Genomic DNA, 14,243 nt, shown 5'->3' with positions numbered 1-14,243 from the left:
AGTGCTGGGATTACAGGCATCAGCTACTGTGCCAGGCCCCAATTCCCAACTTTGATTTCTGAACTTCAGGCCCACTTCTCTCTCTTGCTTCAAACTTCCATTCCTGGAATTTCGACCCACCATCTCAGAATCTGACCTTTCTCCCCTTGGGAACTGGTTTTTCCCCAGAATCCATTCATTTCTCCTAAGTCATAATCATTCAGTAAAACTAGAATGATCTTTCAGAAATTCCAGAAGGACTTCTTTCCATCAGGATTAGTTGAAGATATATCTCTATTTTCATTTCATTGATTAATCGATTAATTGATTGATTGTACATATTTAAGGTGTACAATGTGATATTGTGATATATAAATACATAGTGAAAAGATGATTACAGTCAAGCAAATTAACATATCCATTCTCTCAGTTACCTTTTTTCTTTTGTGGTAAAAGCACCTAAATGCTAAGAAAACTCTTTAAGCAAATTTCCAGTATGTAATACATTTTTATTAACTATAGTCCTCATGCTGTACATCACATCTCTAGACTTTTATCCTACATAACTACAACATTATACTATTTGACCTATATCTCCCCATTTCCCCCCACCTCTCCCACCCCACTGCAAAAACCATTCTACTCTACATTTCCATCTATTTGACTTTTTAAAAATTCCACATATAAGTGACATTATGCAGCATTTTTCTTTCTGTGTCTGGCTTATTTCTCTTAGCATAATATACTCTAGGTTCATTCATTTATTGCAAGTGGCAAGAGCTCCTTTTAAAGGCTGAATTTCATATGTGTGTGTGTATATATATGTATATATATATACAGAAATAGTTTGTGTGTGTTTGTGTTGTACATAAAACAATTTCCATAGATGGTCTCTACTTTCTTTTGAATGTCCATCTGGTAACTATTGGATTAACCATGTACATGCTGTGAGTACAAACACAAATACATGCACGTGTACAAAGGATACAGATTAATTCTTAAATACAAGTTTAAACTCATGAGGAGGAAGAGAAATGCCTTCCAACTGCCTTGTAATTTGCAAAGCTATAACATTCATATAAATGATTGTTTGAATTATCCACTCTGTTCCCTCTGCCCCTGTGGACAGAGTATACTTTCTTGGACCACTGATGTTGACCATGCAATCTACTTTGGCCAATGGAATATTAATGAATGTGATGCAAGCAGAGGCCTCAAATGTGCTTGCACAGTTTGGCTTGGCCCTTGCTTTTCAGTGACCCAGCGCTGTGAGGAGAGTGTGCCCCAGGAGCTACTGCCCCTTAAGCCTGGTTTCCAGAACAGATGTATATGAACCAGATGTAAATCAAAACCACATTCTGGAACCAAGCCCAGCCAACTCATAGCACGAAGCAGAGCCATCCTGAGAGAGAACAGTCTAACTAAGCCTGTATGTTGTTGCTATATGTACATATTTTATAAGCATTACTCTATCATTAATGTACCAGTAAAAGGAGGTGACTGAAGTCATTATGCGCCCATCATTCTCATGGCATGTGCCAGGGAGGCAGAGACCACTTTCCTGGTTTCTATACCGGTTCTCTCTACCATGTGTGCCACTTTCAGTCAATTTGGCTGGAATGCCATAAAGCACTTTCTCTCTCCTCCACATCCATATGCACCCCATCTCTATACACCCCCATATTGAGAGTATCTTCATTAAATATGTATCTGAACAGGGACCCCCAATCTTGAAAGGAATTCTTGTTCTTAGAAGAGGATAGAGGAAAACATCCTCGAATTTCTTCCTGCAGGGTTGTCATGATTGATCCCTTCATTTCCTGTATCCCTGTCCCTAGTGGCCCCAGTGACAGGTGATTTATAAACCTCGATGATGTCTCAGTGAGAGGAGAGTACCCTTTGGCCTTAGTTCTGTCTTACATATTTTACAACACTTCTTGCATCATCACTTCTCCTATTCCAGGCACCACCAGGGCTCAGCTCAAAACTCATTCTTGGGGAGGGTCCAGTGCTCCCCACATATCATGCATAATTTCCAGTTCATAGTCACATTCATAGAAAAGAGTATCATTTGAGTGTTCCATGGTAGGGTGCCTAATGCCAGTCTGTTTTGGATAAGAAAATGCTTACTGAATAGTATAAATTTTGAGCCCAAAATGTTAAGAGAGATTTGTAATAATAAAGAAATTTATGGGCTGTTTCAAATTCTCTTGCCAGAGAGAATTAGAAGGAAGAAAGCCCACTTATGAGGTCCTATCCATCCCATCAGGTGTCTCAGAGGTGGATCAAACCCATCTTGTTTATCTGAGCATCTAGGCCCTTGGCTCTGGTCATTCTTTACTAGCACTTAATAAGCTTTTGGGACATGAATGAATGGCCGTGAACCTGCTGTTGTTATTTTTACTTACAGAAACCAAAAAGCCACAAGCCTTAGCTTTTCTCAATCAGTTGCTGTAAATGATACTATTCTAATCATTAAAGGGCCAAAAATGTCTGAAAATATATTAACAACTTAAAGGCTAGAGGTGTGCACTCTTGAGTCAGCCACAAATGAATCTGAATCCAGGCTCTACCACCTTCTAACTATGTGCCATTGAGCGGGTTACCTCACCTTTCTGGGCCTTATTTACTCATATACAACAATGAAGTCTACCTCTTATGCATTTGCTGTTAGGATTAAATAAGATAATGCAGAGAAGTAATTTAGTTGTTTTTGTTTTGTTTTGTTTTGTTTTTGTTTTTGTTTTTGAGATGGAGTTTTGCTCTGTTGCCCAGGCTGGAGTGCAGTGGTATGATCTCGGCTCACTGCAACCTCTGTTTCCTGGGTTCAACTGATTCTCCTGTCTCAGTCTCCTGAGTAGCTGGGATTACAGGTGCCCACCTCCATGCCCAGCTAATTTTTGTATTTTCAGTTGAGACAGGGTTTTGCCATGTTGGCCAGGCTGGTCTCAAACTCCTGGCCTCAAGTGATCTGCTCGCCTCGGCCTCACAAAGTGCTGGAATTATAGGCGTGAGCCACCATGCCTGGCAAAGTATGGTTTCTGTAGAAAGTAAATATTCAGCAAATGTTAGTTTTCATTATTTGTGAGATTGTTGTTTTTATTGTGGTGTCATGAAAACAAAACGGACTTTAGAACCAAACAGATTTGAATTTGTAGCTCTTATCTGCAAATCCAATAAAGGAGAAAATGTAAGAGTCGATGAAGAAGATGAAAATACTGTTAAATATCTCTGGCTAAGATTATGTGGCCTCGTGAATTGTCATTCCAATGTGAACCTTCCTTTCCTAATGCCACATTGGAAATGGGTTAATCATCACCAGTGTAGACTGAACTGCAACGAGGAATCCTTGAAGTGACAGTTGAGGCTCAAAAGGCAGTTCCCCAGGACTAAGGAAAGCCAGAGGCAACAAGTGAGGGAAAAGAAGATATTGAATAAAGAAAATCATTGTTTAATTTTGTCTCACATCCAATTGGTAAGGATTTCTCCTAGCATCCAGAAAGAAATTGGAGTAACAATTTTCAAACAAAAAAAAATTTCTAAAGCATTGAGATGCCAATAATAACAATACAAAACAGATTCTTTCTTAACTATATTCACAGCACAGTGCATTGTTTAATTAAATTCTCACAAGAATCGTAAAAACGAATCTGAGATAAATAATATTATTGTCCTTATTTTGAGGATGGGAAAGTGAGACACTGAGGGGTAACATGTTTTGTTTACTTGCTTAAGGTCATGCAGATAGCAAGGAGTAGAGCTGAGATTTTAACCTGGCAGTAATTCCAGCATCCAAGCTATGCCTTATATTAGCAAGACAAAAAAGGTGACATGACACTTTAGAAGATATTTATAGCACGGAATAAATATTTATTCTTAAAAACAATTTTAACCTCATGAGAAGGAAGATAAATGTTTTCCTAACTGCCTTGTAATTTGCAAGGCAATAGCATTAATATACATGACAGTTTGAATCATCCACTCTGCTCCTTCTGCTCCATGAACAGAGTATGCCTTCCTGAACCATAGGAATCTACTGCAGATTCTTTTCTGTTATTTGAAATAATAGGAAAGCTTTTGTTAACTGAACATTTTCTTTGCATTAAGCATACACTTTCTATATTTTCACAATGATAATTCATGAATAAGACATGTTATTTCTAATGCTTGCATTATCCTACAAGTGAAGTATTTTTACATATATGGAAACTGAGATTCAGAAAGGTTAAATCATTTGCCAAAGGTTGTACAGTTAAGCCGCAATTTTAAAACTGGTTTATCCAACCCTATCTTTTTGCTCCTTCACTCTGTTTCACTTTTTAGCTTTACTTCCAAATTTTGCAAACTGATGCCTTAATAAGCAATCTCATGCTTCCAGGAACACCTAGAGAGTTTATACCGCTTCTTCAAATTTTGGAAACCCCAACAAATTTAAGGGTGAGAGAAGTTGTCCTTGTCAATCATCACTCCTTGACCTATTTTGAAAGGAACCAACGTTCTTAGGAGGCAACAGACCAATCCAATAACTCAAGCAACATTTGGATGAAGAATCAATCCCATGAACTCATGTGTGGCTCATCCCCAGGGATGCTAAGATATGTTAATAACCAGCACATTGACTCTAGGAGTATTCTAGTATGTTGGGCCATTCTATTTGTCTCCCCATTTCTTGGCCTTCCTGGCTTGATGTTAATGTGTCTTCTTTTTAAAAAGTTTCTCCAAGTCTATTCTTTGGGATATTTATCAGTGGTGTGGGGTGTGTATGTTTAAAAAGGATGCCCAAGTCTTGCACAGTTGTGGACAAAACCTGAGTTTTTTGCATTTTTTCACTGTAGGACTTCTCAATAGCCTTTTATATATACTAGCGTGTACTAAGACTCTTTAGGGGTGCATTTTTCAGCATTTGTCCAGACAGAATCCCTTTCTCCTGGAGCATATTCAGGGACCAGTGTTCTCTCGGCTCACTTGGAAAGACACTATCTCCTAGCCAACTACATCCTGTCAATAATTTCCCAGCCTGAGTCTGGGTTCCATCAGAAGCAAGGCTAACAATCCCCATGCTCCTGATTATTTCTGAGAGCTTACAGCTCATGCCTTCTCCTTGCCCCAGTGGAAAATGCTGCAGTGCCAGTCAGCTGACGGAAAAGAGGTGCCAACTGTGGTCAGTGAGGAAGATGAGTCATAGCCCAGCAGCAGGGATACAAGGGCAGGGAAGACAGCTCAGAGGTGGGAAGAAGAGAGGGAACTCACCCAGTCACGTATGTCCATAAGAGATAGAGTGGTCATTGTTCCAATTTGTCAAGGACAGCTTTCGTTTATCCCTGTTGTCCCAGCATAATTATATCAAAAGTATCTTATTGAACAATAATTATATCTTGTCACTAGAGTACAGATGTGGATTGTCTTCTCAGCTTGCTGATGAGAATTGTGCTTCCTAAAATGTTTTGTTCCCACCACAATCACTGAGTCTCAGAACTGGAAGGAATTATCTAATTTTCTACCCAATTTCCTACGCATGAAAGGAATGCTGGGGAGGATTCTGAGAAAAGTGTGGCTTCTTAATAAAAAGAGGTGCAGAGAAGAGATACCTCCTCTTCTCTGTACATACCTCATTGTGCCTGTATAAAATGCCTAGGACCTGGACAGTCATCCTGGGACCTTCCCATATCCAGTATCCATTTCTGAAAGAGCTCTCCAGTTCCATGAGCTTCAGACCCCATAAAACTCAGGTCGGCCTCCTACTCATCTCCCTGATCTAAGTCACAAGTCTATGAACTCAACATCTTGAGTATCTCTCAAGCCTGCCCACTTACTCTTCTCCAGTGCTACCATCCTGGTCCACACTGCCATCTTCTTTCACATTGCTATTGCAACAGAGTGCCCCTGGTCTCCATTCATACTGTGATGTTTCTAAATTGCATATCTTGTCACATCACTCTCTTCTTGAAAACTCACTGAAGAGTACTTAGGATAAAACCAAAATGCACACCTGAAATCCCAGCACTTTGGAAGGCCAAGGCAGGCAGATCACGAGGTCAGGAGATCAAGACCATCCTGGCCAACATGGTGAAACCTCATCTCTACTAAAAATACAAAAAAATTAGCTGGGCGTGGTGGCCTGCGCCTGTAGTCCCAGCTACTCGGGAGGCTGAGGCAGAGAATTGCTTGAACCTGGGAGGTGAAGGTTGCAGGGAGCCGAAATTGTGCCATTGCACTCCAGCCTGGCGACAGAGAGAGACTCCACCTCAAAAACAAAACAAAACAAAATCAAAATGCTTAGCATGGGTCTGAAGCCCTGGGCAATTTGTCCCTAACCTGTTTCCATAGCTCCATGTCATCTCCCTGCCCCACTCAGTCTCAGGGTATAGCACATTAGCACACTAGCACACTAGCCTTCCTCCGGTATGCTAATGTTCCAAGTTCTTGAACATGGTATTCTGCTAGAAATGCTTTCCTCCATTTCTTTTCTAGTTACTTCTTTCCTATTCACCCTTCAGAGCTTAGTTTATAAATTCTTTCCTCAGGGAAGCCTTTCTGATCATCATAATAGCAGCCTAAGTCAGAACCTCTCGTATATGTGTCTACATAGTGTTTATCACAAGGCAACCACACACATAACCAGTTGTTTATAGCTGTCTCCCCGAACGGAATGTAAGCTCCTCTAATGTCTCTCAGGTTAACTGCAGTATCCCAAAGATTAGCACCGTGTCTTGTACACAAGGTGAACATCAATGAGTACTTATGGACAGTGTTGTTGAGCATTTAGTTTATCTGCAGGTCCATGATGTGCTTTGGAAATTAGAAATTGGGAAGCCAGATTAACCCTTCTCAAGCAGCATGAATTGGCAGTGTTAGCATTTTCTTCCTCCATCCCTAGGGAGGGATTTTGTGACTAGCTACCTGGGTGTCACTGGATGGATTACTCTTCCTTTCTAAGTCTCAGTTTCTTCATCTGTAAAATGGGAATAATAATTTCATTTACCTCATAGGGTTGATTATTTGCTTATTTGGATGAAACACCCACTCTCTGTCAGACACTGTGATAGAGGCCAGAAATAGCATAATGTATTAAATACTATGTGGACATGCCCTCTGCTCTCATGGGCACTGTTTTTATTCATCGTTGTATCCCTCATCCTAGCACAATGCCTGGTATGCAATAGCCATTAAATATGTATTTGTTTAATTAATTAATATAGTTCTTTGTGCAAATCAGATGAAAGTGCCAATGAATAAAAGCAGAGAAGAATAATAGCTGATGCCCAGGGAGGATCCACTGGGGGTGGTAGTCAAGATGCTGAGCCCAGTACATGGATGGTTTCACTTATTCTTCATTCAGTGTTGTAGATACACTTATTATTATCCCCCACTTTACAGAGAGGGAAATACAGTAGTAGCACAAACAGCAGAATTCACCTGATCAAGGTCGCATAGCTAATAAGTGGTGAAGATGCATGATAAACTGTGTGAGCACTAAACTGACAGAACCCTTAGGTGGTATCAAACACTAGCTGAGAACAGAATCCTATGGAAAGAGGAAATGAGGAGAGAAATCCAAAGCTTAGAAAAAGTGAAGTAGCGACATTAGAATAGCAGCAGTGAAATATCTTTCTGTATTTTCATTCGGCTGCTTAGTTATCTAAGAAGACCTCATACACCTTTTTCACTCTTCTGTTTTTATGTTCAATGTCAGCTAATAGTACACTTAACTATGTCAGGCTGTATAGATTTATTTAACGCCACATTATATGCCATCAGTTGAAGCACTGGATCATAAGAATGCCATATAACTCTATGTATCTTGATAAGAAAATGCACTTAAAACCGAATTGTAGTCTGCCGATTATTGCTTATACTGATTTCAAAGTAGCCTGATGAAATAACACAATAAAAGGTAGACAAAGAAACAAGCCATATGTCAGATGTATTAACCACAAGGAAGCCAGACAGAGACTAGTATCTGAGATCAAAAGAGCATGTGTGTGACAAGGCAAAGCAAACAGCTCCCCTAGGAGACCAAGAGCTGCACTCACCAGCGCACCTCAGTAACCACGTCCAACAGTCAGGCACACATGAGCGAAATACTCAAGAGGCTTTTGAAAGCTGTGTTTTTCTTTTTGACATCTCTTAATTAATTATTTGTGTGACTGTTATTGACCATAATACCCAATTTTACATTCAGATCAGGAGGTCATCCTAATCTATTGCTGAATACATTACCTTGCTTGGGAGAGCCTCATGATATTCACATGCAAAATTATCCAAGAATAATTTATTAGGATAACAGTTCTTAAAGTTTTTGGAATCATACACCACTCACACTCAACATTATTGAGGACCCCAAAGGGTTTTTGTTTGTGGATTATATCTATTGAAACTTTCTGTATTTAAAAATGGAAAAAATTAAATATCTACTTATTAATTATAAAATTACAGTAATAAACCCACTGTATATTAACATAATTAACATATTTTTATGAAAAATAATTATATTTCCAAAACATAATGTTAATGAGAAGAATTGCATTGTTTTATATTTTTGCAAATCTCTTCAGTGTCTGGCTTAATAGAAGAATGCTGGATTCTGATATGTACTTCAGCATTCAACCTGCTGCAATATGAAATTTTGGTTGAAGTATATGAAGAAAAGGCAGCTTCACAAAGATATGGCTGAAAAAGGAAGGAACATAGTTGTGGATATTCTCCTGTGATACTACACCAAGATTCAACAAGATGTTTTTTAAAAGATACAATGTAGACTCTGAAACTATACCAATAAACTTTTTCGGCTCTCCTAAATTAAAATCTATTGGTCTATCTTGAACTTTGAATAGAGTTTTTACCCACGCGTAATTTTGTAACCCCCAAGCATTGCTATTTGGACAACATTGATTCACTGAGTTATGCAAATGTTCCAAATATTGACACATTTCATCATACAATAATTTTTTAAAATGCATTAGTTAATATTCCTAATTTCATAATAAAACCTCTAAATATTAAGAAACCATCAACCTCATGGTAGTAGATACAAGTTTTCTGAAACTTTAATTTCACTTGAAAGCTCAAACTTCATCACTGGCAACAAAGACTATCAGTTGTTTTCCTTGAAGTGACAGGCTCATTTTATTCATTTTCAAGAATTTTTTTTCTGCCAAATACTCAGGTCAGAATAACCACAGTTTTTCCATAAGTCTTTTTCTTTTTCAAGTAAAAATGATGTTCGATGAAAAAGCAACCAGTTCAGTTTGCAACTCAAACAATTACACAAATATTTTTCTTCAGGAAAAGCCTGATAATTTGGCATGCAGTAAAGTGCTTTATATAAACTTCACATTTCATCACCCAACTTAAAAGGCATATATTCAAGGGTCTATATTTAATTTTTACTGCTTCACCAAGAGTATTTTTAATTGCATCTGGAATTTTTTAAAAAATTATGAGTATGTAAGGGTGAAGCATAAAATGACTTCTAGTACAGTTTGGTGTAACTAAGGCACCACCAATAGCTTTTGTACCATCAATCTAAATATCAACAAAGTGAAAAAGCCAAATCATGTGAGGATTATTACGAAATCATGCCGGCTTTGCAGACACCCTGAAAAGATATCAGGACTTCCAGGGTTGTGCGCATGATAATTTAAGAATTGCCGTGTTAGCGAATTTTCAATATTAAGGGATATTGTTCCTTTTAGGCAAGCTCATGTGATACAGGTTAAAACCAAGGAGGGCTACATTGAACCAGAAATGGTCCTGTTCAGACACCATTCAGGACAGGCTGCTGTATACCCCCTCTATCCAATCCTGGCACTGGCACTCAGGTAATAACTGCCACCATGGATAGGGCTAACCCAGATTCGAATGCTTTTCCTTAATGTGGCTACACCTCTGATCTTTAACAAAATGGCCAAAAGGGCTGATTGAGGAGAAATGAACTTATGCTATAGAATCAAACATATAAATTCTATGTATGCTATAGAATCAAAAATATTGTGTGCAGGAGAGAGAAAATAATATTTTAAAATAACTTCGATGCAAATATAAACACAGCAAACTCTACCTCACTGTGGCTCTTCTGTTAACTCCCAGTCCTTTCACACTAGGAACTCACATCTAGAATGGTTCTGTGGTAGTAGATCCTCTGGCCCTAAAAGACAGGTAATTGTAAAAGGTTTTTACATTCATATCTGTAATTTATCAGAATTTATAATTACAATTTTTATACTTCATAAACTCCATTTTTGTTGCCCTAGCTATTTCTCCTATGCTACAGTGTAAGTTAATACAAATGTAGAAACCTGGGAAACGTTTTCCCAATGTGAATGGATTCACTAAATACTTGTTTCAAGTCCCTCATTCTCATTTATAAAACAAGAAATAGAAATAGCAAATGAATCTAGATGAGGGCCAAAATTAACCCTCATTAGTATTTTTAATGCAATACCTGCTTTGCTCTTACATACATACATATATTTGTAACATTTTTCTCACTTTTTAAGCCAATATTCAAAATCAATGAACGTGGTGAAACAGACTTATTCTACTAATGAGAACATTCACTGGTATCAAAAGCTCATAAAGATTCCTAATTTTTGATCCTATAATCCCATTCTGAGAAAATATCCTAAGGAAATAGAAATTTTGGCAAAAATGAGAGAGTATAACTAATTGCAGAATGCACGAATCAATTATGGCACATCTGTGAAGTGGAATGTTATTAGGTCACTAAAAATGAATTCGAAAGTTTTATAATACAAGAAATTATTTGTAATAACTATTTTTAAAAGTAGAATATATATTTACTTACATATATACATACACTGTAATCTCCATTAGGTAAAAATACATATACACCAACATAAAATTTTTAAATAATACATGTTAGTTTTTTAAAATTCTAAACTAGAAAATAATTTGAATGATAATAAAATGAATTGGTTAAAGTGTGGGGAAAGGACACTCATAAATAAGAGTATAAGTTGGTATTCTTTTTCTTTACGGCAATTTGCAGTATGTGCCAAAAGTTTTAAAAATATGAATTTTATTCATCCAGAAGTTCTAATTCTAGGACTTTTAAAGGATATCTTTAGAGCTATTTTCAGAAATTGTCTATTCACACAATGGGATAATAAACTGGCACTAAAAAATGATGGGGTTTATTTCTTGAGTTTGTTTCTTTAGTTTTTTGCTTATAAAACTGGCACACATTTTTCAGGTTTATCAAGGTATAATTGACAAATCAAAACTATATATTTAAGTGTACAACTTGATGTTTTGATATACATATACACTGTAAAATAATCATCCCAATCAAGCTAATTAACATATCTATCACCCCACATAGTTACCATTCTTATTTTCTTTTTTCTCTTTTTTGGTGCAGTGAGAACATTTAAGACCTATCTGCTTAAAAAATGTAAAGTATACAATATGGTATTTGTTAACTGTAGTCACCACACTGTACGTTAGAGCTCCAGAATTTATTCATTTTGTATAACTGAAACTTTATATCTTTTGACTGACATCTCCCAATTTCTCCTTCCCACTTTCCCCCTTCCTATTCCCTGGCAAACACCATTCCACTATCTGCTTCTATAAGTTTGACTGTCTTAGATTCCACATATAAATGAAGTCATGCAGTATTTGTGTTTGTGTGTCTAGTTTATTTCATACAGTATAATGTCCCCCAGGTTCGTCCATATGGTCACAGATGGCAGGATAGCCTTCTTGTAAGGCTAAAGAACATTCCATTGTATATATACATACCACATTTTTCTTTATTCATTCATTGGTTGATGAATATTTAGGTTGTTTACATATCTTGATTATTATCAATAATGCAGCAATAAATTAAAAATGATGTTTTTAAAAGTATATTCATTGATTTGGAAATGTATTCAAGGTAAACTGCTGAGTGGGGGAAAAAAGCATCCTAACATACAGTGTGAATAGTATTATCCTATTTTGTAAATAAATGGGTAAATAGTTGCACATATATACAGTCATGTATCACTTAACAATGGGAATACAGTCTAAGAAATATGTCATTAGGCAATTTCATCATTGTGTGAACATTATGAAGTATATTGACATAAGCCTGGAAGGTTTAGCCTATTACACATCTAGGCTACCCGCTATAGCCTGTTGCTCCTAGGCTACAAAGTTGTAGAATATGTTACTATACTGAACACTGTCGGGAATTGTAACACAATGGTAAATATTTTTATATCTAGACATATCTAAATATAGAAAAGGCATGGTTAAAATGCAGTATAAAAGAGAAAAAAAATGATTCGCCTGTATATCTAACCATGAAAAGAGCTTTCAGGACTGTAAGTTGCTGTGGGTGAATCAGCAAGTGGTGATTGAATGTGAGGGCCTAAGACATTACTGTACACTACTGTAGACTTTATAAACACTGTATACTTAGCCTACACTAAATTCATAAATAGATATTTTTATTTGTTCTATAATAAATTAAACTTAGCTTCTTGTAGACTTTTACTTTATAAATTTAATTTTTTAAAAAATTAAAAATTAAAATTTTAATTTAAAAAAATGAAAGTTTGACTGTTTTATTTGGCTCTTTTGTAATAAGTTGGCTTAAAACATACATTGTACAGCTGTACAAAAATATATTCTTCCTTTATGTCCTTATTCTATAAAATTTTTATCTATTTTATTTATTTTGTTTTACTTTTTAATTTTCTTCTTAAAAAATAGTACACAAACACACACAGCCTAGGCCTACACAGAATCAGGATTATCAATATCACTGTCTTCCACTTCCACATCTTATCCCACTGGAAGGGCTTTATGGGGAATGACACTCATGGAACTGTCATCTCCTATGATAACAATGCCTTCTTCTGGAATACCTCCTGAAGGACCTACCTGAGGCTGTTTTACAGTTAACTCTTTTTATATATATGTAGAAGTACACTCTAAAATAATGATTAAAAATATAGTATGGGGCTGGGTATGGTGGCAAACTTCTGCAGTCCCAGCACTTTGGGAGGCCAGGCAGGCAGATCACTTGAGGTCAAGAGTTCAAGACCGGCCTGGCCCACATGGTGAAACTCTGTCTCTAGTTAACATACAAAAATTAACCAGGCATAGTGGTGCATGCCTGTAATCTCAGCTATTCAGGAGGCTGAGGCTGGAGAATCACTTGAACCCAACAGGCAGAGGTTGTAGTAAGCTGAGATTGCACCACTGCACTCCAGCCTGGGCGACAGAGCGAGACTCTGTCTCAAAAAAATAAAAAAAAAAAAATAGAAATAATTTTTTTAAAGTACAGTATGGTAAACATATAAACTAGTAACATAGTTGTTTATTATCATTAGCTAACATTATGTACTGTACATAATTATATGTGCTATACTTTTATACCACTGGACGCACAGTAGTTTTCTTTACATTAGCATCACCACAAACACATGAGCAATGCATTATGCTATATTAGGATGGCTACAACATTGTTATACAATAGGAATTTTTCCACTCCATTTTAATTTTATGGGACCACTATTGTATATGTGGTCCATTACTGGCTGAAATGTTGTTATGCATTATATGACTGTATAAATGTATATAGAAAAAATATGAATTCACCCTGAGAGGTCTGAGAAAAGAAAAGAAAAGAAAAAAAAATGAGTAAAGATACCATGATATTAGCATGTGATATTAGAGGGTGATGGTCTTGTGGGTGAATGTATCAGTCAGGATTCTCCAGGAAACAGAATTAATAGGAGATATATATATATATTTATATTTATATATATTTATATTTATATATTTATATATATATATAGAGAGAGAGAGATTTATTTTAAGCAATTAGTTTATAGGATTGTGGGGGCTGGCAAGTTTAAAACTCAAAGGATAGGCCAGTAGGCTAGAAACATAGGCAGCATTTCCATAAGACTGTCTTGAGGCAGAATTTCTTATTCGGTGGGAACCTTCAGTTTTTGCTTATAAGGCCTTCAACTGCTTGGGTAAGGCCAACCCACATTATACAAGGTAATCTCCTTTACTTAAAGTCAGCTGATTGTAGATGTTAACCACATTGCTAAAATATCTTCACAGTAACACCTAAGTTAGGTTTTATTAAATCACTTTAGGAACTATATAGCCTGGCCAGTTGACACATAAATTAATCATCACAGGAGAATTTTCCTTTGGTTTTGTGTTTTTTATATTTCTAATTTTTCTTTAATGAAGCTACATTGTGTAGTAAACTCATAAGAGTAAACTCATGTGCA

General features: G+C 36.6%; 1 protein-coding gene and 1 long non-coding RNA gene across 13 annotated transcripts in view; both read right to left on the bottom strand.

The window, feature by feature from the left end:
* Positions 1-14,243, bottom strand: part of CAST (calpastatin) — an 813,255-nt gene that overhangs the window by 384,992 nt on the left and 414,020 nt on the right. For 11 of the 12 annotated variants that reach the window (NM_001423254.1, NM_001423259.1, NM_001423253.1 and 8 more), the window contains one exon: positions 10,040-10,126. The gene's annotated coding sequence lies outside the window, so the exon portion shown is untranslated. Of the gene's footprint in view, positions 1-8,236; positions 8,650-10,039; positions 10,127-14,243 lie in introns of those variants that run through there. The other variant, NR_186779.1, reaches the window with a different exon arrangement.
* Positions 1-14,243, bottom strand: part of LOC101929710 (uncharacterized) — a 669,085-nt gene that overhangs the window by 241,394 nt on the left and 413,448 nt on the right. Inside the window, exon 4 of the long non-coding RNA NR_130776.1 lies at positions 10,040-10,126. This is a non-coding gene — a long non-coding RNA (uncharacterized LOC101929710). The remainder of the gene's footprint in view (positions 1-10,039; positions 10,127-14,243) is intronic.

Source organism: Homo sapiens, chromosome 5 (assembly GCF_000001405.40).
Source record: "Homo sapiens chromosome 5, GRCh38.p14 Primary Assembly".
NCBI classification, from domain to species: Eukaryota; Metazoa; Chordata; class Mammalia; order Primates; family Hominidae; genus Homo; species Homo sapiens.
The sequence above is the reverse complement of the archived record's forward strand: the minus strand, read 5'-3'. Positions and strand labels throughout refer to the sequence as shown.